The sequence below is a fragment of the Homo sapiens genome, chromosome 1, assembly GCF_000001405.40.
Source record: "Homo sapiens chromosome 1, GRCh38.p14 Primary Assembly".
NCBI lineage: Eukaryota > Metazoa > Chordata > Mammalia > Primates > Hominidae > Homo > Homo sapiens.
The window spans coordinates 155,569,135-155,590,001 of NC_000001.11; the positions used below are offsets into that span (position 1 = coordinate 155,569,135).

Below are 20,867 nucleotides of genomic sequence, written 5' to 3' on the forward strand. Positions count from 1 at the left end.
ATTTATTTATTTATATTTTGAAACAGAGTCTTGCACTGTCACCCAGGCTGGAGTGCAGTAGCGCGATCTCAGCTCACTGCAAGTTCCACCTCCCGGGTTGAAGCCATTCTCCTGCCTCAGCCTCCTGAGTAGCTGGGACTACAGGCGCCCGCCACCACGCCCAGCTAATTTTTTGTATTTTTAGTGGAGACAGGGTTTCACCATGTTAGCCAGGGTGGTCTCGATCTCCTGACCTCATGATCCGCCCATCTCGGCCTCCCAAAGTGCTGGGATTACAGGCGTGAGCCACTGCGCCCGGTCTTTTTTTTTTTTTTTTTTTTTGAGACAGATTCTCGCACTGTCACCCAGGCTGGAGTGCAATGGCGCAATCTCAGCTCACTGCAACCTCCCCCTCCCGGGTTCAAGCAATTCTACTGCCGCAGCCTCCCGAGTAGCTGGGATTACAGGTGCCCGCCACCACGCCTGACTAATTTTTTGTATTTTTAGTACAGACAGGATTTCACTATGTTGGCCAGGCTGTTCTCAAACTCCTGGCCTTGTGATCTACCCTCCTCAATCTCCCAAAGTGCTGAGATTACAAGCATGATCCACTGCACCCGGCCAGTTGTTTTTTTTGGTTTTTTTGTTTTTTTAGGTTTTTTTTACGAAAATGTTTGGGAACAGAAATGTTGTGGATTTGAGATTTTGTTGGATTTTGGAATATTTGTATTATACCTACTGTTTGAACATCCCAAGTTTGAAAATCTGAAACCTTAAGTGTTAACATGAGCACCTTAATAAAGTTTGGACAGTATTTCTTTTATAAACAATATTATTGATATTGCTAACTATTAACATTAGAAATGAAAGTCGAGAAAGATAATTACCTGGAACGTTAGTACCCAGAAATACCCAATTGTGTTGGTATTTGTTTTAAGTTTTCATTTTTATGCATCTCCACCTCAGAACCATAATCTAAATTTACAGTTGAATTCATTTCAATACCTCAGTGGTGTACCATTGAGTCCTAAAATTCTAGAATGTTAATCCCAGTCATGTGTGTACACTAACATGCCTTTTTTGAAGTCTTTTGAAACCTATCAGATACAGTGTGGAGTCCATTTTGCTGAAGAGTATCTAGAATATCTGCTACCCTAAGAAGCAGTCATAGTCCCTTCCATAGTAGTTTAAGTTTTAAATTGTCCACTGTTCTGAGTAACGTGATGAAATTTTGCACCACCCTGTCCTGGATATGAATCAACATAACCACGCTGTACGTGCTCCCATTGGTCAGTCATTGACATCATCGGCTTTTGACATCCATCTGTGGACATCAGCATGACTCAGTGATTCAGGATCACCCTAAGATGATCCCCCTTCTTAGGTATAGTCAGAAGGTTGATATTAGCTACATCAGAATTCCTAAGTCATTCACTTTATCTTATCTTATAAGCGTTTTATCATCTCACTTCAACACAAGAAGGGTGAGCACGGTACTATGAGATATTTTGAGAATGAGCGAGACCATGTTCACATAACTTTTGTATGGTATATTGTTCCGTTTTCTTATTGGTTATTGCTGTTCATTTGTTACTGTGCCAGATTTATAAATTAAACTTGATTATAGGTATATACCTATAGGAAAAAACTGTGTGTGTGTGTTTGTGTGTGTGTTTATTTATTTAGTGATCAGTACTCTGTATGGTTTCAGGCATCCCCTGGGAATCCTGCAGTGGGATCTCCCGAGGATAAGGGTGGACTACTGTATTTCCTTCCTTCTTGCTTTCTTCATTGCAGAAGAGCTAATGCAGCTTTAAAAGCTGGGGAGCTTTAAAAAGTGTATATTGTATCATCACTTGCACTGTTATCAGAATTGTAAACCACATGCATTATTTCTAGCAAAAACACCTATAGCTACAAGACTGAGGTTGGCCGGACACAATGCTCACATGTATAATCCCAGCACTTTATGGGAGGCCAAAGTGGGAGAATTGCTTCAGGCCAGGAGCTGAAGACCAGCCTGGCAACATAGCCCCATCTCTATAAAAAAGTAAAAATTAGCCAGTCATGGTGGTACATGCCTATAGTCCAAGCTTGTCGAACCTGTGGCCCATGGGCTGCATACAACCCAGGACGGCTTTGAATAGGGCCCAACACAAATTGATAAACTTTCTTAAAACATTAAGAGCCTTTTTTTTCTGTGATTTCATTGTTGTTGTTGCTATTTTAGCTCATCAGCTGTTGTTAGTGTTGGTGTGTTTTATGTGTGGCTCAAGACAATTCTTTCGACGTGGCCCAGGAAAGCCAAGATTGGACACCCCTGCTGTAGTCCAAGCTCCTCAGGAGGCTGAAGGGAGAGGATCACTTGAGCCCAGGAGTTCAAGACTGCAGTGAGCGATGATACCACTGCACTCAAGCCTTGGAGACTGCAGGAGACCCTATCTCAAACAAAAACCTTAGAGCTTGGAGAAGTTAGCACTGTTGAAGTTTGTGATAATCAGTAAATTTCAGAACTCTTTTACTTTTATAGCTCTAACATTGCTCTAGGAATCCAAACCTGGGGAGATAGATATTATTAAGATGAGAAAATACAGCATAAGGAATTCTGCTTTTTCTCTCTGAAATTATGAAAACAATGAAATTACTCTTTGTGGCTTGGCATGGTGGCTTACGCCTGTAATCCCAGCACTTTGGGAGGCCGAGGAGGGCAGATCACTTGAGGTCAGGAGGTCAGCCTGGCCAACATGGTGAAACCTCATCTCTACTAAAAATACAAAAATTAGTCGGATGTGGTGGCAGACACCTATAATCCCAGCTTCTTGGGAGGCTGAGGCAGGAGAATCATTTGAACCCAGGAGGCGGAGGTTGCAGTGAGCCAAGATTGCGCCACTGCACTGCAGCCTGGGCGACAGAGTGAGACTCTTGTCTCAAAAAAAAAAAAAAAAAGAAATTAGTCTTTGTGAGCCAAACTTTTCCTATGGGACTTGGGATTTAGGACAATCTCAACCTCAACACTGTTGACATTTGGGGATGGATCATTCTTTGTTGTGGGGGACTCCCTGTGCATTGTAGACTTTAGCAACATACCTGGCCTCTACTCACTCGATGCCAATAGCATCCTCCCTTCCCTCCCTCAGCTGTGACAACCAAAATGCCTCCAAACATTCATTGTCAAATGTTGGGGGAGGGGACAAAATCCCCCTGGTAGAGAACTACTAATTTAGAGAAAGAATTACTGATCATGAGGAATCAGTCTGGGTTTAGTACAAAAGAAAGTCATGACAGACAAATATATCCTTCTTGTTAGAATTCCTGGAATGGCCGGGTGCGGTGGCTCACGCCTGTAATCCCAGCACTTTGAGAGGACAGGCTGGTGGATCACGAAGTCAGGAGTTCAAGACCATCCTGGCCAAGATGGTGAAACCCCGTCTCTACTAAAAATACAAAACTTAACCAGCCATGGTTTCGGGCACCTGTAATCCCAAGCTACTCGGGAGGCTGAGGCAGAGAATTGCTTGAACCCGGGAGATGGAGAATTTTTTTTTCTTTTTTTTGAGATGGAGTTTCGCTCTTGTTGCCCAGGCTGGAGTGCAATGGCATGATCTCGGTTTGCTGCAACCTCCGCCTCCTGGGTTCAAGCGATTCTCCCACCTCAGCCTCCCAAGTAACTGGGTTTGCAGGCATGCGCCACCACGTCTGGCTAATTTTGTATTTTTAGTAGAGATGGGGTTTCTCCATGTTGGTCAGGCTGGTCTCGAACTCCCGACCTCAGGCGATCCACCCGCCCTGGCCTCCCAAAGTGCTCAGATGACAGGTGTGAGCCACTGCGCCAGTCAAAAAAAAGAATTCTTAGAATGGTAGATCAAATTCCATTATTGGTATGTCCTCATTAAAGTTAGGCATTTGATAATCTCGCACAGTGGCTTTTTGGAGAAATGTATACTGAATGTTTAATTGGTTGAATAACCATACCCAAAGGCTACATGTTAGCAAAATGGGTTGAAGTTCCCTTAACCATGGACATACAGGCAGTGGTTATCACTCTTGGCTGCACATTGGAATAAGCTGGGGAGCTTTAAAAATATTGATGCCTGGGTCACTATCAGAGGCTGATTTAATTGATCTGAGGCACACTCTGGGTATCAGAATTTTTAAACTATACCCAAGTGGGCCAGACAGTGGCTCACATCTATAATCCCAGCACTTTGAGAGGCCAAGGCAGGTGGATCGCTTGAGCCCAAGAGTTTGAGAGCAACCTGGGCAACATAATGAGATCCTTTCTCTACAAAAAAGATAGAAAAATTAGCTGGGAATGGTGGCACACGCCTGTAATGCCAGCAGTTGAGAGGCCAAGGTAGACAGATCGCTTGAGCTCAGGAGTTTGAAACTAGCCTGGACCACATGGCGAAACCCTGTCCCTACGGAAAAAAAAAATACGAACTGACCAGGCGCAGTGGCTCACGCCTGTAATCCCAGCACTTTGGGATGGTGAAACTGGCTGATCACCTAAGGTCAGGAGTTTGAGACCAGCCTGGCCAACATGGTGAAACCCTGACTCTACTAAAAATACAAAAATTAGCTGGGCGTGGTGGCAGGTGCCTGTAATCCCAGCTACTAGGGATGCTGAGGCAGGAGACTTGCTTGAAACCAGGAGACAGAGGTTACAGTGAGCCGAGATCACGCTATTGCACTCCAGCCTGGGTGACAAAAGCAAAACTCCATCTCACAAAAAAAAAAAAAAAAAAATTACAAACTGTACCCAGGCTATGCTAGGCAATCGTATCCTGTTAAATAGTTGTATCAATGACTTGAATGAGATCGATGTGGATATATTTTTCAAATTTATACCTTTTGCAAAATTTTTAAAGGGTGGGTAATATGTTGGTGACAGATTTTAAAAAACAAAAAGATCTTCAGATGTGGAATCTTCTGTTGGATCTTATAACAAAAAGAAGACATTAGGCTGGGTGCAGTGGCTCACGCCTGTAATCCCAGCACTTTTAGGAGGCAGAGGCAGGCATATCGCTTGAGCCCAGGAGTTGAAGACCAGCCTGGACAACATGGTGAAACCCCATCTCAACAAAAAACACAAAAATTAGCCAAGTGTAGTGGCATATGCCTGTAGTCCAAGCTACTTGAGAGGCTGAAGTCCAAGGATTGAGGTGGAGATTACAATGAGCCAAGATCACGTCATCACACTGCAGCCTAGGTGACAGAGCAAGACCTTGTCTCAAAAAAAGAAAAAGACATAGCAGAAAAGCTGAGGAAATCCAAATAAAATCTGTAGTTTAGTAAATAGTATTGTTCCAACTTTAATTTCTTAATTTTGATAACTGTCCTATAGTTGTATATATATATATAGACATATATATAACATTAAGGAAAGCTGAATGAAGAGTGTACGAAAGCTCTTCGTACTACGTTTGCAACTCATCTGTAAGTTTACATTGGTTTGTTTGTTTGCTTGCTTTCAAATAGGACCTCACTCTGTTACCCAGGCTGGAGTGCAGTGGTGCAATCCTAGCTCACTGCAACCTCTAGCTTCTTGACTCAAGGGATCCTCCTGCCTCAGCCTCCTGAGCAGCCAGAACTACAGGCACAGGCAACTATGTTCAGCTAATTTTTTTTATTAGTAGTAGAGATAAGGTTTTCCTATGTTGCCCAGGCTGGTCTCGAACTCCTGGTCTCCGAAAGTGCTGGGATTACAGGCCTGAGCCACCGTGCACAGCCTCCACTATCTAATTTTAGAACTTTTTCTTTTTTTTTTTTTTTTTTGAGACGGAGTCTCCTGTTGCCAGGTTGGAGTGCAGTGGCACTATTTCGGCTCACTGCAACCTCCACCTCCCGGGTTCAAGCGATTCTCCTGCCTCAACCTCCCGATTAGCTGGGATTACAGGCATGCGCCGCCATGCCCAGCTAATTTTTGTATTTTTAGTAGAGACGGAGTTTTGCCATGTTGACCAGGCTGCTCTCAAATTCCTGACCTCGGGTGATTCACTCGCCTCAGCTTCCTAAAGTGCTGGGATTACAGGTGTGAGCCACCATGCCAGGCTAATACTTGTACTTTCTATGAGTAAAAATAAATGAGTTCTTTGACCCTCAAAAAAAAAAAGAGAGAGAGAGAATCCCAGTTTTTCCAGATCCTGTCCAACACATATCATTGTCAGTTCTTTTGATTTGAGCCATCCTAGTGGGTGTGAAGTGGTATCTCATTGTGGTTTTTATTTGCATTTTCTAGATGACTAATAATGTTGAGCATTTTTCATGTGCTTATTGGCCATTTGTATAACTTTTATACTTTGGAGAAATGCCTGCTCAAATCTTTTGCCTTTTTTTTTCTTAATTTGAGTCAGGGTCTCACTCTGTTGCCCCCGGCTGGAGTGCAGTGGTGCAATCACGGCTCACTGCAGCCTCAGCCTCCCAGACCCAGGTGATCCTCCCCGCTCAGCCCCCCAAATAGCTGGGTCCACAGTGGCACGCCACCGCACCTGGCTAATTTTTTAAATTTTTTGTAGAGAGCAGGTCTCATTATGTTACCCAGGCTGGTCTCAAACTCCTGGGCATAAGCAATCCTTCTGCCTCAGCCTCACAAAGTGCTGGGATTGCAGGTGTGAGCCACTGCACCTGGCTCTTTTGCCTATTTTATTTATTTATTTTATTGTTTATTTTTGTCTTATTTTATTTTTATTTATTTATTTATTTATTTATTTATTTATTTATTTATTTTTGAGACAGAGTTCGCTCTGTTGCCCAGGCTGCAGTGCAATGGCGTGATCTCGGCTCACTGCAACCTCCACCTCCTGGGCTCAAGCGATTCTCCTGCCTCAGCCTGCCAAGTGGCTGGGACTACAGGCACACGTCACCACGCCCAGCTAATTTTGTATTTTTAGTAGAGAAGGGGTTTCTCCATGTTGGCCAGGCTGGTCTCAAACTCCTGACCTCAGGTGATCCGCCTGCTTCGGCCTCCCAAAGTGCTGGGATTACAGGTGTGAGCCACCCCGCCAGGCCCCCCATTTTTAAATTGAGTTGCCTTTTTATTAAGTTGTAAATGTTCTTTATATATTATGGAGATAAGTTAAGTTCTATGTGATTTGCAAATATTTTCTCCCATCCTGTGGGTTGTCTTCCACTTACTTGATGGTATCCTTTGAAGTACAAGTGTCTGATTTGGATACAATTCGTTATCTATTTATAGTTTTTTTGTTTTGTTCTGTTTTGTTTTTGTTTTTGTTTTTTGAGACGGAGTCTCTGTCACCAGGCTGGACTGCAGTGACGCGATCTCAGCTCACTGCAACTTCCGCCTCCCGGGTTCAAGTGATTCTCCTGCCTCAGCCTCCTGAGTAGCTGGGACTACAGGTGCGCACCACCACGCCCATCTAAGTTTTGTATTTTTAGTAGAGATGGGGTTTCACCATGTTGGCCATGATGGTCTCGATATCTTGACCTTGTGATCCGCCCACCTCAGCCTCCCAAAGTGCTGGGATTACAGGTGTGAGCCACTGTGCCCAGCCTATTTTTAGTTCTTTTGCTTGTGCTTTTGATGTTATATCTAAGAAACCATTGCATAACACACGATAATGAAGATTTACTCCTGTATTTTCTGCTATAGAAAATTAGAGGCTGAGCGCAGTGGCACACGCCTGTAATCCCAGCACTTTGGGAGGCCAAACTGGGTGGATCACCTGAGGTCAGGAGATCGAGACCATCCTGGCTAACATGGTAAAACCCCATCTCTACTAAAAATACAAAAAATTAGCCGGGCGTGGTGGCAGGCGCTTGTAATCCCAGCTACTCGGGAGACTGAGGCAGGAGAATGGCTTGAACCCGGGAGGCGGAGGTTGCAGTGAGCCGAGATCGTGCCATTGCACTCCAGCCTGGGCAACAAGAGCAAAACTCCGTCTCAAAAAAAAAAAAAAAAAAAAAAAAAAAGTTAGAAAACTCACCCCTGCAAGTTTTTTTTTTTGTCTTTTTTTTGTTTGTTTGTTTGTTTTTTGAGATGGAGTCTCGCTCTGTCACCCAGGCTGTAGTGCAGTGGCGCAATCTCAGCTCACTGCAAGCTCCACCTCCCAGGTTCACGCCATTCTCCTGCCTCAGCCTCCGGAGTAGCTGGGACTACAGGCGCCTGCCACCACGCCCGGCTAATTTTTTGTATTTTTAGTAGAGATGGGGTTTTACCATGTTAGCCAGGATGGTCTCGATCTCCTGACCTCGTGATCCACCCGCCTCGGCCTCCCAAAGTGCTGGGATTACAGGCGTGAGCCACCACGCCCGGCCGCCCCCTCCAAGTTTTATACCTGTAGCTCTTACATTTAGGTCTATGAGCTATTTTGCATTCATGTTTGTGTATAATGTAAGGTAGGGGTCCATTTTCATTCTTTTGCATGAGTATCAGGTTGTCCCAGCACTATTTGTTGAAGAGACTATTCTTTCTTCATTGAAGTGTCTTGGCATCCATGTTGAAAATCAGTTGACCATGATGTAAGCGTATGCCAGTACCAGACTATCTTGATTACTGTAGCTTTATCGTAAGTTTTGGAATCAAGATGTATGAGTCCTTTAAATTTGTTATTTTTCAAGAATGCTTGGGCTATTCTAGGTCTATGGCATTTCCATATGAATTTTGAGATCAGCTTCAAAAGTTTTTTCTTAAGACAGGGTCTCACTGTGTCACCCAGGTTGGAGTGGAGTGGCGCGACGCTAGAGTCCACTGCACTTTCGACTTCTCAGGCTCAAGCGATCCTCCCACCTCAGCTCCCCAACTAGCTGGGGCTACAAGCACGAGCCACTACACCCAGCTAATTTTGTATTTTTCGTAGAGACGGAGTTTCACCCTGTTGCCCAGGCTGGTATCGAACTCCTAGCTCAATTGATCCACCCGCCTTGGCCTCCCAAAGAGCTGGGATTATAGGCATGAGCCACCGCACCTAGCTAGCTTGACAATTTTGACCAAAAAGATTGCTGGGATTTTGATAGTAGCAATATTTTTTTAAAAAAAGGACTGGTGATTTTAGTGAACTGTGTTCTCCGTATGAAGCACTGGTGTGATGGAGTTACAAAAGTCGCTCTTGGAAATATAATATCCTAAATTAGGGAAACAGTAGATCATACCTGAAGTGTATTGGGGTAATATAGAGAAGGGACTTGTACTGCATGATAATTGCTTTAGGAAACTGAAAGCATTTATGGGGGAGGGGTGGGGAGCAGAGGACCATAACTACCTTTCTTTTTTTTTTTTTTTTTTTTTTTTTTTTGAGATAGAGTCTCACTCTGTCACCCACACTGGCGTGCAGTCTTGGCTCACTGCAACCTCCGCCTCCCAGGTTCACGTGATTCTTGTGCCTCAGCCTCCCAAGTAGCTGGAACTACAGGCATGCGCCACCACGCCCGGCTAATCTTTTTTTTTTTTTTTTTTTTTGAGACGGAGTCCCACTCTTTAGCCCAGGCCAGACTGCAGTGGCACAATCTCGGCTCACTGCAAGCTCCGCCTCCCAGGTTCACGCCATTCTCCTGCCTCAGCCTCCCGAGTAGCTGGGACTACAGGCGCCCGCCACCGCGCCCGGCTAATTTTTTGTATTTTTAGTAGAGATGGGGTTTCACCGTGTTAGCCAAGATGGTCTCGATCTCCTGACCTTGTGATCCGCCCGCCTCGGCCTCCCAAAGTGCTGGGATTACAGGCGTGAGCCACCGCGCCCGGCCCTGTGTGGTTTTTTTTTTGTTTTTTTTTTTTTCAGTAGAGACGAGGTTTCGCCATATTGGCCAGGCTGGTCTCAAACTCCTGACCTCAGGTGATCTGCCCACCTCGGCCTCCCAAAGTGCTGGGATTACAGGTGTGAGCCACTGCACCCGGCCCATAACTACCTTTAATAATTGAAAAGCTGTCATGTGGAAGATGGCTTGTAAAACCCAAGAGGAGGCCAGGTGTGGTGGCTCACGCTTGTCATCCCAGCACTTTGGGAGGCTGGGGCAGGCGGATCACCTGAGGTTGGGAGTTCAAGACCAGCCTGACCAACATGGAGAAACCCCGTCTCTACTGAAAATACAAAATTAGCTGGACATGGACATGGTGGCGCATGCAGGCAATCCTAGCTACTCGGGAGGCCGAGGCGGGAGAATCGCTTGAACCCGGGAGGCAGAGGTTGTGGTGAGCCGAGATCAAGCCATTGCACTCTGGCCTGGGCAACAAGAGTGAAACTCCATCTCAAAACAAGCAAACAAACAAACAAACAAACAAACAAACAAAAAACCCAAGAGGAAGACTAGGACAGTGAATGGAAGCTACAAGGAGACATGTTGCCTCGAACTACTGAAGAACTTTTATTAAAAGCTGTGTAAAAACCATAATGACTTCCTATTGAGTTCCCCATCACTGGAAATCATTAGGCATTTGCTGATTGACAGTGTAGCATATATAGTGGCTAATGGGAAAGGCTTGAGAGTCAAACATAGATTTCAATTCTAAAACTGCCTGATTTTAGGATATATACCCTTGGAGTTAATCTATCCATACTTATTTTCAGCTGAGCATAATAACGTGTACCTGATGGGACTGTTGTAAGATAATGCCTTTAATTTGCTTATTATAGAGCCTATTTCAGAAAAATATTCAGTGATTAATATTAAGATCAATGTAGCACTGATTTAGTTCTGAACGAGTTCAATCCTTAGACTAGGTCGACATAATCTTAAGCATCTGTGGTTCTCGCCTGTAATCCCAGCACTTTGGGAGGCCGAGGCAGGCAGATCACTTGAGGTTGAGGAGTTTGAGACCAGACTGGCCAAAATGGTGAAACCTCGTCTCTACTAAAAATACAAAAATTAGCCAGGCGTGGTGGTGTGTCTGTAATCCCAGCTACTTGGGAGGCTGAGGCAAGAGAATTTCTTGAACCCGGGAGGCAGAGGTTGCAGTGAGCCGAGATCGGGCCACTGCCCTCCAGCCTGGGCAACAGAGCAAGAGTCCATCTCAAAAAGAAAAAAAAAAAAAAAAGAATCTGTTATTCTCTCTGGGTATAGTGGCTCGCACATGTAATCCCAACTACTCGTGAGGCTGAAGGGAGAGGTTGCATGGCCAGCGGTTTGAAACCAGCCTTGGTAACATAATGAGACCCTGACTCTAAGAAAAAAAAAAAAAAGGGCCGAGTGTGGTGGCTCACACCCGTAATCCCAGCATGTTGGGAGATGGAGGCAGGACGATCCCTTGTGCCCAGGAGTTTGAGACCAGACTGGGCAACATAGTAAGACCCTGCCCTGTCTCTACAAAAATAATAAAAATAAATTAGCCAGGCGTGGTGGTGTGCACCTGTGGTCCCAGTTACTTGGGAGGCTGAGGTGAAAGGATCATTTCGGCCTGAGAGTTCGAGGTTGCAGTGAGCCGTGATCACGCCACTGCACTGAAGTTTTAGCACATAGTCTTTGGGATACCTTTCTAAATTTGGCACAGGCTGTTTCTGACTTCCTTCTGAAGTTACATTTGGCCTGTCTAGGCAAGAATACTCTTTTTGTTGTTTGTTTAAAGAAAGATAATTTGGCCAGGTGCGGTGGCTCACGCCTGTAATCCCAGCACTTTGGGAGGCCGAGGTGGGCGGATTGCCTGAGCTGAGGAGTTCAAAACCACCCTGGGCAACATGGTGAAACCCCATCTCTACTAAACACCAAAAAATTAGCCAAGTGTGGTGGCATGCATCTGTACTCGGGAGGCTGAGGCAGGAGAATTGCTTGAGCCCAGGAGGCAGAGGTTGCAGTGAGCCAAGATTGTGCCACTGCACTCCACTTGGGTAACAGAGTGAGACTCTGTCTCAAAAAAAAAAAAAAAAAAAAAGGGAGAGAGAACTCTAATACTCTAACACTACCTAAACAGTTTCATCAGAGTAGCGGCAGAGTTTTACACACAATAGTGTGTAAGAATCTGTGGTTTCTTACAGATTATTACAAATACAAAAAAATGTCTTTTTACATGCATTTGGAAAAGCTTCAAAAGACTAAGGCAACTATTTGGGATTTGTTTATCTACATTTTATTTTGTTTTTTAATTGTTTTTAAGAGACGCAGTCTTGCTATCTTGCCAGGCTGGTCTTGAACTCCTGGGCTCAAGTGATCCTTATACCTCGGCCTCCCAAAGTGTGGGCATTATAGGTGTGAGTCACCTCATCCAGCCATTATCTACATTTTAAATAAAGACTGTGGTTGGAAGCAGAACTCTTTTGTCTTGGAATACTTGAGGCAGATAATGGGGAAAAGCTCAGAATGATGGCAGTTGAAAAATATTGGAGAAGTATTTTATTTTACTTTATATTTTATTATTATTATTATTTTGAGACAGAGTCTCACTCTGTCGACCAGGCTGGAGTGCGGTGGTGTGATCTCAGCCCACTTCAACCTCCTCTTGAACCTGGGAGGGTTCAAGCAGTTCTCATGCCTCAATCTCCCAAGTAGCTGGGATTATAGGCATGTCCCACCTCGCCCATCTAATTTTTGTATTTTTAGTAGAGATGGGGTTTCGCCATGTTGACCAGTACTCCTGACCTCAAGTGATCTTCCTGCCTCAGCCTCCCAAAGTACTGGGATTACAGGCGTGAGCCACTGCGCCCGGCATGGAGAAGTATATTAATGACATTTTTGAGAATTTTGTTTGTTTTGGCTTCCTATTAGGCTGGAGATAATTATCATTCATCTTTAATTTTTACCATAATTTTTTTTTTTTTGAGATGTAGTCTTGCTCTGTCACCCAGGCTGGAGTGCAGTGGCGCGATCTTGGCTCACTACAACCTCCGCATCCCCGGTGCAAGCGATTCTCCTGCCTCAGCCTTCCGAGTAGCTGGGACTACAGGTGTGCACCACCATGTCTGGCTTTTTTTTTTTTTTTGAGTCGGAATTTCGCTCTTGTTGCCCAGGCTGGAGTGCAATGGCATGATCTCGGCTCACCGCAACCTCCACCTCCTGAGTTCAATCATTTTTTGTATTTTTAGTAGAGACAGAGTTTCACCATGTTAGCCAAGGTGGTCTCGATCTCCTGATCTCATGATCGCCCGCCTCGGCCTCCCAAAGTGCTGGGATTACAGGCGTGAGCCACCACGCCCGGCCAACCATCAGTCATTTCTCATAGGAAACCTGTCCCTTACCTACCGTCCAGTTACAAGCAAAATGTTTAACTTGTGTTCTGCAGAGAAGTGTTCAAATGACATGAAAAGACTGAAAACAGAAATCAGTACGCAATTTTTCATAGTATTAGTGGCATTCAGCCTTATCTTGCAGAGTCCTGATTTGTATATACCCTGGAAAATAGAATAAGCAAACATTCCTCTCTTTTGTGTTGATTTGGCTTGTTGATAGGATTTCTCTGCTTATAGATTTTTTGTTTGTTTGTTTTTTGAGACAGAGTCTCATTCTGTCGCCAGGCTGGAGTGCAGTGGCACGATCTCGGCTCACTGCAGCCTCTGCCTCCCGGGTTCAAGCAATTCTCTGCCTCAGCCTCCCTAGTAGCTGGGATTACAAGGTGCCCACAACAACACCCAGCTAATTTTTTGTATTTTTAGTAGAGACGGGGTTTCACCATCTTGGCCAGGCTGATCTTGAACTCCTGACCCCGTGATCCACCTGCCTCGGCCTCCCAAAGTGCTGGTATTACAGGCATGAGCCACCGCGCCCGGCCGGCTTATAGGTATTTTAAAATATTTTGAAATGTGATTTAGTCTAGGTTGTCTGCTTTAGGGTGAGACTTTTGAGATTTCTTTCTCTCCTTACCCACCTACCTGCAACTTTGTTTTTGTTTTGTTTTTTGTTTTTGTGGAGGCAGGATCTCACTCTGTTGCCCAGGCTGGAGTGCGCTGGTCACTGCAGCCTTGAACTCCTGGGCTCAAGTGATCCTCCCTTCTCAGCCTCCCAAGTAGCTGAGACTACAGGCACAGACCACCATGCCTGGCAAATTAAAAAAAAAAAAAAATTGTAGAGTTGCAGTGTGGCCACGTTGCCGAGGCTGATCTCCAACTCCTGGCCTCAAATGATTTTTTCCGGCCTGGGCTTCCCAAAGTGCTAGAATTATAGATGTGTGCCACTGCACCTGGTCCTTCCCCTTCTTCTTAAAGTATCTTGTTATTCCCATATAGAAGGTATATCTTTTTTTTTTTTTTTTTTACTTGAAAACTAGTGAGGGCCAGGCATAGTGGCTCACACCTGCAATCCCAGCACTTTGGGAAGCCAAGGCAGGAAGATCACTTGAGGCCAGGAGTTAGAGACCAGCCTAGGCAACATAGCCAGACCCCATCTCTATAAAAATAAAATATAGCCACGAGGTGGTTGCACGTGCCTGTAGTCCCAGCTGCTCAGGAGGCTGAGGCAGGAGGATTGCTTGAGCCTAGGAGTTAGAGGCTGCAGTGAGCTATGATCGCCACTGCACTCCAGCCTGGGCAACAGACTGAGACCCGATCTCACAAAATAATAAAGTAGTGAGGAAATACTGAAGAATTTTAAGCAAGGCTTCAGTGGAGAAAATGTTTAAGTCTGGATGCTGGTAGATCATTTATTTTAATTTGGGTTCAAGATGATAGTGTCCTGGAACAGAAGCTGATTACACGTTCTGACCGTCATTTCTCATAGTGTCTATAACATAGGCAAAATAATAGCTCCAGTGTCCACAGGCACGCCTATGGAAAGAAGGGCATCTGGACCATGTCACACACTCCTTCCTCTCCAGTACCCAGCCTGCTTCCTAGTCCACAGCTCTTCCAGTAGTGGTTGTGCCGGGGAGCATTGAGAAGATCTGGGGAGCACAGTGGGGCAGGTCAAATACTATTGGAGTGACATTGCACTCTAGAAAAGGAGCCCTGAAATCCCACAAGTAAAAAGGCAGGCAGGCCAGTAGAGACCACCCCAGTCTTATTCACCACTATAGACTCTGTGTAGTGTGGGCGTGTGGAAGCATGTCATATGCTTCTTGAATGACTGAGTTTAGGAGTGCTTTGGCGTCTTCATTAAGTAGTATGGCTGTGCAGGTGGCTCACGCTTGTAATCCCAATACTTTGGGAGGCCAAGGCGGGAGGATCACTTGAGCCCAGGAAAGACCAGCTCTGGCAACATAGCGAGACCCTGTCTCTACAAAATATAAAAGCCAGGTACTGTGGCTTGCACCTGTAATCCCAACTACTTGGGAGGCTGAAGTGGGAGGATCGCTTGAATACGGGAGGTTGAGGCTGCAATGAGCTGTGATTGTGCCACTGTACTCCAGCCTAGGTGGCAGAGCAAGACCCTGTCTCAAGAAAAATAAAAAATAACAAACTTGAGGCAGAGCATGGTGGCTCACACTTGTAATCCTGGCATTTGGGAGGCTGAGACAGGAAGATCGCTTGAGCCCAGGAGTTCAAGACCAGCCTGGGCACCATAGGAAGGCTTATCTCTACCAATAAAATAATTTCTTTTTTTAATTAACCAGGCAATGGGCATGTATGGTCCCAGCTGCTTGGAAGGCTGAGGCAGGAGGATCACATGAGGCCAAAAGTTCAAGGCTGCAGTGAGCTGTGATCTTGCCATTGCACTCCAGCCTGGGCAACAGAGTGAGAGCTTGTCTCAAAAAAAAAAAAAAAAAAAAAAAAGAAAGAAAGAGGAAATAAAATTTAAAGGAATTTATATGAGTCTGTACCTCTCTCTCTCTTTTTTTAGACAATATCTCACTGTATCACCCAGGCTGGAGTGCAGTGGTGCGATCATAGCTCCCTGCAGCCTTGAACACCTGGGCTCAAGTGATCCTTTCGCCTCAGCCTCCTATGTGGCTAGGACTACAGGCATGTGCCACAGTGCCAGGTTTTTTTTTTTGTTTTGTTTGTTTGTTTGTTTGTTTGTTTGTGGAGGTGGTCTCACTGTGTCATCTAAGCTGGTCTCAAACTCCTGGGCTCAAGCAGTCTTCCCACCTCAGCCTCCAAAAGTGCTGATATTACAGGCATGAGCCACCATATCCAGCCTATGTGATTCTCTTGACTGTACTTTAAGTTCCTTGATTATAAGGTCAGGGACTATAACAGTTTGTTCACCATTGTATTCACAGGGCCTGGTACATAGTAGGTGCTCACTAACTATTCGGTTAAATGGGTGCAACTCTGTTGTTGCTTTAAAGATTTTGGTTGCAAGAAAAGTGAAAATGAGGGACGGGCGTGGTAGCTCACGCCTGTAATCCCAGCACTTTGGGAGGCCAAGGCGGGCGGATCACGAGGTCAGGAGATCGATACCATCCTTGCTAACACGGTGAAACCCCGTCTCTACTAAAAATACAAAAAATTAGCCAGGCGTGGTGGCGGGCACCTATAGTTCCAGCTGCTTGGGAGGCTGAGGCAGGAGAATTGCTTGAACCCGGGAGGCGGAGGTTGCAGTGAGCTGAGATCGCGCCACTGCACTCCAGCCTGGGTGACAGAGCGAGACTCCGTCTCAAAAAAAAAAAAAAAAAAGAAAAGTGAAAATGATAGCCAAAATGAACTAATCAATTACATAGACATTTAACTTAAGTTATTCTATAACTACTGGATATTGAGAGTTACATTTAAGTATTTTTAAATCTCTTTTAGCTCCAAAAGATTCAGGCTTTTTAAGTATTTTCAGCATGCAAAATAATTAATATAATACACATGTTATAAAAATAATAAAACAAATACTCATGTATCCATTATCCAGTGTTAGTTAATAGCTTATTATCAGTTTCCTTGTGTGCCTGCCCCCATCTTTTTCCTTTCTCCCTAAGAGTAACCATTATTCTATTTGTTGTTCTTATCATTCTCTTGCCTTTTTGTTTCAGTTTTCCTATATATATATCCCCCAAATAATCAATGAAGTTTTTTGGTTTTTTATTTTACATGTCATACTATGCTAGATGTAGTGTTCACTCAGTATGCATTTTTGAGATCCATATTGATGAATGTAATGGTAATTTGTTCTTTGTATTGCTTTCCAGTATTCCATTCTATGACTGTATCTATCCAATGTTCTGTCAATGGACATACGGACATTTGTTTTTTTTACAGTCTTTTTATAATTTGTACTCTGCTAATATGAGCATCTTTATTTCTATTTCTCAGTGTACATGTAGAAGTTTTTTTCTTTCTCTCTCTCTCTGTCTTTTTTTTTTTTTTTTTTGTTAGAGACAGGGTTTCACCATGTTGGCCAGGCTGGTCTCGAAATCCTGACCTCAGGTGATCCACCCGCCTCGGCCTCCCTAAGTGCTGGGATTACAGGCGTGAGCCACCATGCCTGGCCCTGATTTTTTTATTTTTGTAATAAGGTGGCTTCAAATGGTATCTCATTTTCATGGTTTTAATTAGCATTACCCTGATTTGTAATGAGGTTGAAAAATATTTTCATGGGTTTGCTAGCCATTTGTGTTTCTTTTCTGTGAAATGCTTGTTTGTGTCTTTTGCTCATTGTTCTTTATTAGGCTGTAGGCATGCTTTATATGTTCTAGATATTACTCCATATTATTAACCCATAATAATCCATTGTCAGTTTCCCATGTTGCAAATATTTTTTCCCATTTGTGCTTTACCTTTCACTTTTTTTTTTTAAGAGTACAAGGACAATGCTGAAAGGAATAACAAGGCTTATCTCTAGGATCCATAAGGTGAGTCTGGACTGACGGCTGATCTGAACACTTTGTGCATACTGCCTTTTATTATTATTTTTTTAACTCAGTCTTGCTCTGTCACCCTGGCTGGAGCGCAGTGGCGCAATCTCGGCTTGCTGCAACCTCTGCCTTCCAGGTTCAAGCAATTCTCATGCCTCAGCCTCCCAAGTAGCTGGGATTACAGATGAACACTATCATACCTGTCAAATCTTTGTATTTTTAGGAGAGATGGGGTTTTGCCATATTGGGCAGGCTGGTCTCAAACTCCTGGCCTCAAGTTATCCACCTGCCTCAGTCCCCCAAAGTGCTGGGATTACAAGCATGAGCCACTATACCCAGCCTTGAATACTGTCTTTAAGTAGATTTCTTCTTTTTAGATGGATTCATGGTATCTAGAGTCAAATGCTCTGGAGAACTTTGTCTATAACAAGTTTCAGTAGAATAACTGTGTTTGGCCGGGCGCCGTGGCTCACGCTTGTAATCCCAGCACTTTGAGAGGGTGAGGCGGGAGGATCACCTGAGGTAGGAGTTCGAGACCAGCATAGCCAACATGGGGAAACCCCGTCTCTACTAAAAATACAAAATTAGCCGGGCGTGGTGGCACGCGCTGGTAATCCCAACTACTCCAGAGGCTGAAGCAGGAGAATCCGTTCAACCCGGGAGGTGGAGGTTGCGGTGAGCCGAAATTGTGCTGCTGCACTGAAGCCTGGACAACAAAGTGAGACTACGTCTCAAAAAAAAAAAAAAAAAAAAAAGGCCGGGCGTGGTGGCTCACGCCTGTAATCCCAGCACTTTGGGAGGCCGAGGCGGGTGGATCACGAGGTCAGGAGATCGAGACCATCCTGGCTAACACGGTGAAACCCCGTCTCTACTGAAAATACAAAAAAATTAGCCGGGCGTGGTGGCGGGCGCCTATAGTCCCAGCTACTTGGGAGGCTGAGGCAGGAGAATGGCGTGAACCCGGGAGGCGGAGCTTGCAGTGAGCCGAGATCGCGCCACTGCACTCCAGCCTGGGCGACAGAGCGAGACTCCGTCTCAGAAAAAAAAAAAAAAAAAAAGGAATAACTGTGCTTGAGAATTTACCATGGGATAGGATAATTAATATTTTTCCATAACACATAACTAAGATTGACTGTAATTTTTATTAACTTTATTTCTCTAGTTGAATTAATGATAATTCTCCTTTAATGAAGTATCGAAAATAACAACTAGTTGCCAGGTGGGCGCGGTGGCTCACACCTGTAATCCCAGCACTTTGGGAGGCCGAGGTGGGTGGATCACTTGAGGCCAGGAGTTCGAGACCAGCCTGGCCAAAATGGTGAAACCCCGTCTCTACTAAAAAAAATACAAACATTAGCCAGGCGTGGTGCCAGGCGCCTGTAATCTCAGCTACTCGGGAGGCTGTGGCAGGAGAATCGCTTTAGCCTGGGAGGCGGAGGTTGCAGTGAGCCGTGACTGAGCCACTGCACTCCAGCCTGGCAACAGAGTGAGACTGTGTCTCAAAAAAAAAAAAAAAAAAAGTTGCCAATTTACAATTTTAGCATCTAAAATGATTAAAAAACAAAATTGTACGTGAAAAAGACCATTCTGCTGGTTTACTTCATTTTTTCATTTATTTACCAAATAGTTTTTCAGTACCTTCTATATGGCAGGTACTCAGAATTCTAAGATGCCTCATTTCACTAATAATAGTTATTATTTGTTGGGTATTATTATGTGCCAGGTACTACACTAAGTGCTTTATTTTTTTAATCCTCATGATCAACTCATGAACGAGATAATATCCTTGTTTCACAGATGGAGAAACTAAAGATGAGACTGGCTAGGTAACTTACCTGAGGAAATAGCCTGTGAGGTTGCAAAGCCCGCACGAGATGCCAGGTCTGTCTGACTTCAAAGCCTGTGGCCTAAACACTGTGCTCTATTGCATTTTATGGTCCATGTTCTCCAGAAGCTTACAGTCCAGTAGAATCATGAAAAAATGACTATTTCAGTATGGTGCTCTTACAGCACCAAAGAGGAGCACCTGAGCGGGATTAGTCGAGTCAGCAGGAGATCCTGAAAGGCTCAGAACTGAGCCAGAAAGACTTGGTCATTTTCAGCTGATTATTTAATTACAGATTAGATTTCCTAGAAAAGGAGCCCTTCCTCCTATATGGCTCTCCCTGCATGTGCCCCCTTCCCTCAGGCCTATATATTAATACATAAAATAACCCATTATTATAAAATGAAACGAAAGCAAGGATCAGCAGAGGGATGGATTCTGGACTCAACTGATCATATTACAAGGCTAAAATAAATTTCCTCTCGGCCGGGCACGGTAGCTCATGCCTGTAATCCCAGCACTTTGGGAGGCCAAGGCGGACAGATCACCTGAGGTCGGGAGTTTGAGACCAGCCTGGCCAACATAGTGAAACCCCGTCTCTACTAAAAATACAAAAATTAGCTGCGTGTGGTGGCACACACCTGTAATCCCAGCTACTCGGGAGGCTGAGGTAAGAGAATCGCTTGAACCCAAGAGGTGGAGGTTGCAGTGAGCCGAGATCATGCCACTGCACTCTAGCCTGGGCAATAGAGCGAGACTCCATCTCAAAAAAAAAAAAATTTACTCTTTCTTAATAACAGATGAGAAAGACCTGAGGCCAGACTGCTGTTGGTAAGAGAAAGTTTTGGTGTTTTTTTTTTTATTAGTTTGGTTCAGGGTGACTGTATTAGTCAGGGTTCTCTACAGGGATAGCACTAATAGGATAGAAGTATATATGAAGGAGAGTTTGTTAAGGAGTATTGAGTCACACCATCTGGCGAAGTCCCACAGTAGGCCGTGAGCAAGCTGAGGAGCAAGTAAGCCAGTCCAAGTCCCAAAACTTCAAAAGTAGGGAAGCTGACAGTGCAGCCTTCAGTCTGTGGCTAAAGGCCTGAGAGCCCCTGGCAAATCACTGTTGTAAGTCCAAGGGTCCAAAAGCTGAAGAACTTGGAGTCCAGTGTTCGAGGGCGGGAAGCATCTAGCTCAGGAGAAAGATGAAGGCTGGAAGACCCAGCAAGTCGGCTCATCCTACCTTCTTCTGCCTGCTTTATTCTAGCTGCCCTGGCAGGTGATTAGATGGTGTCCACCCACACTGAGGGTGGGTCTGCGTCTCCCAGTCCACTGACTCAAATGTTAATCTCCTTTGGCAACACCCTCACAGACACACCCAGGAACAATACTTTACAGCCTTTAATCCAATCAAGTTGACACTTAATTTTTTTTTTTTTCACTAACAAAACATGCTTTATTTGGTAAAAATGTGAGTGTAAA

At 44.6% G+C, this 20,867-nt stretch overlaps 1 protein-coding gene and 1 pseudogene across 2 annotated transcripts in view, besides 2 other annotated features; both read left to right on the top strand.

The window, feature by feature from the left end:
- MSTO1 (misato mitochondrial distribution and morphology regulator 1) overlaps positions 1-20,867 on the top strand; it is a 51,722-nt gene that overhangs the window by 5,889 nt on the left and 24,966 nt on the right. Inside the window, exons 2-3 of one of the 2 annotated variants that reach the window (XM_047424007.1) lie at positions 17,516-17,569; positions 19,370-19,453. The gene's annotated coding sequence lies outside the window, so the exon portion shown is untranslated. The remainder of the gene's footprint in view (positions 1-17,515; positions 17,570-19,369; positions 19,454-20,867) is intronic. The other variant, XM_047424008.1, reaches the window with a different exon arrangement.
- Positions 1,428-2,648, top strand: LOC101929703 (uncharacterized; annotated as a pseudogene).
- Positions 7,873-8,010: a silencer, noted in NCBI's record as "fragment chr1:155546798-155546935 (GRCh37/hg19 assembly coordinates)". NCBI's record gives its function as "represses an EF-1alpha promoter that drives an FKBP-Casp9 reporter gene in an ReSE screen in K562 erythroleukemia cells {active_cell/tissue: K562}" and the evidence as "EXISTENCE:reporter gene assay evidence [ECO:0000049][PMID:32094911]".
- Positions 17,814-17,977: a silencer, noted in NCBI's record as "fragment chr1:155556739-155556902 (GRCh37/hg19 assembly coordinates)". NCBI's record gives its function as "represses an EF-1alpha promoter that drives an FKBP-Casp9 reporter gene in an ReSE screen in HepG2 liver carcinoma cells and phorbol 12-myristate 13-acetate-treated (for megakaryocytic differentiation) K562 erythroleukemia cells {active_cell/tissue: HepG2 | K562(+PMA)}" and the evidence as "EXISTENCE:reporter gene assay evidence [ECO:0000049][PMID:32094911]".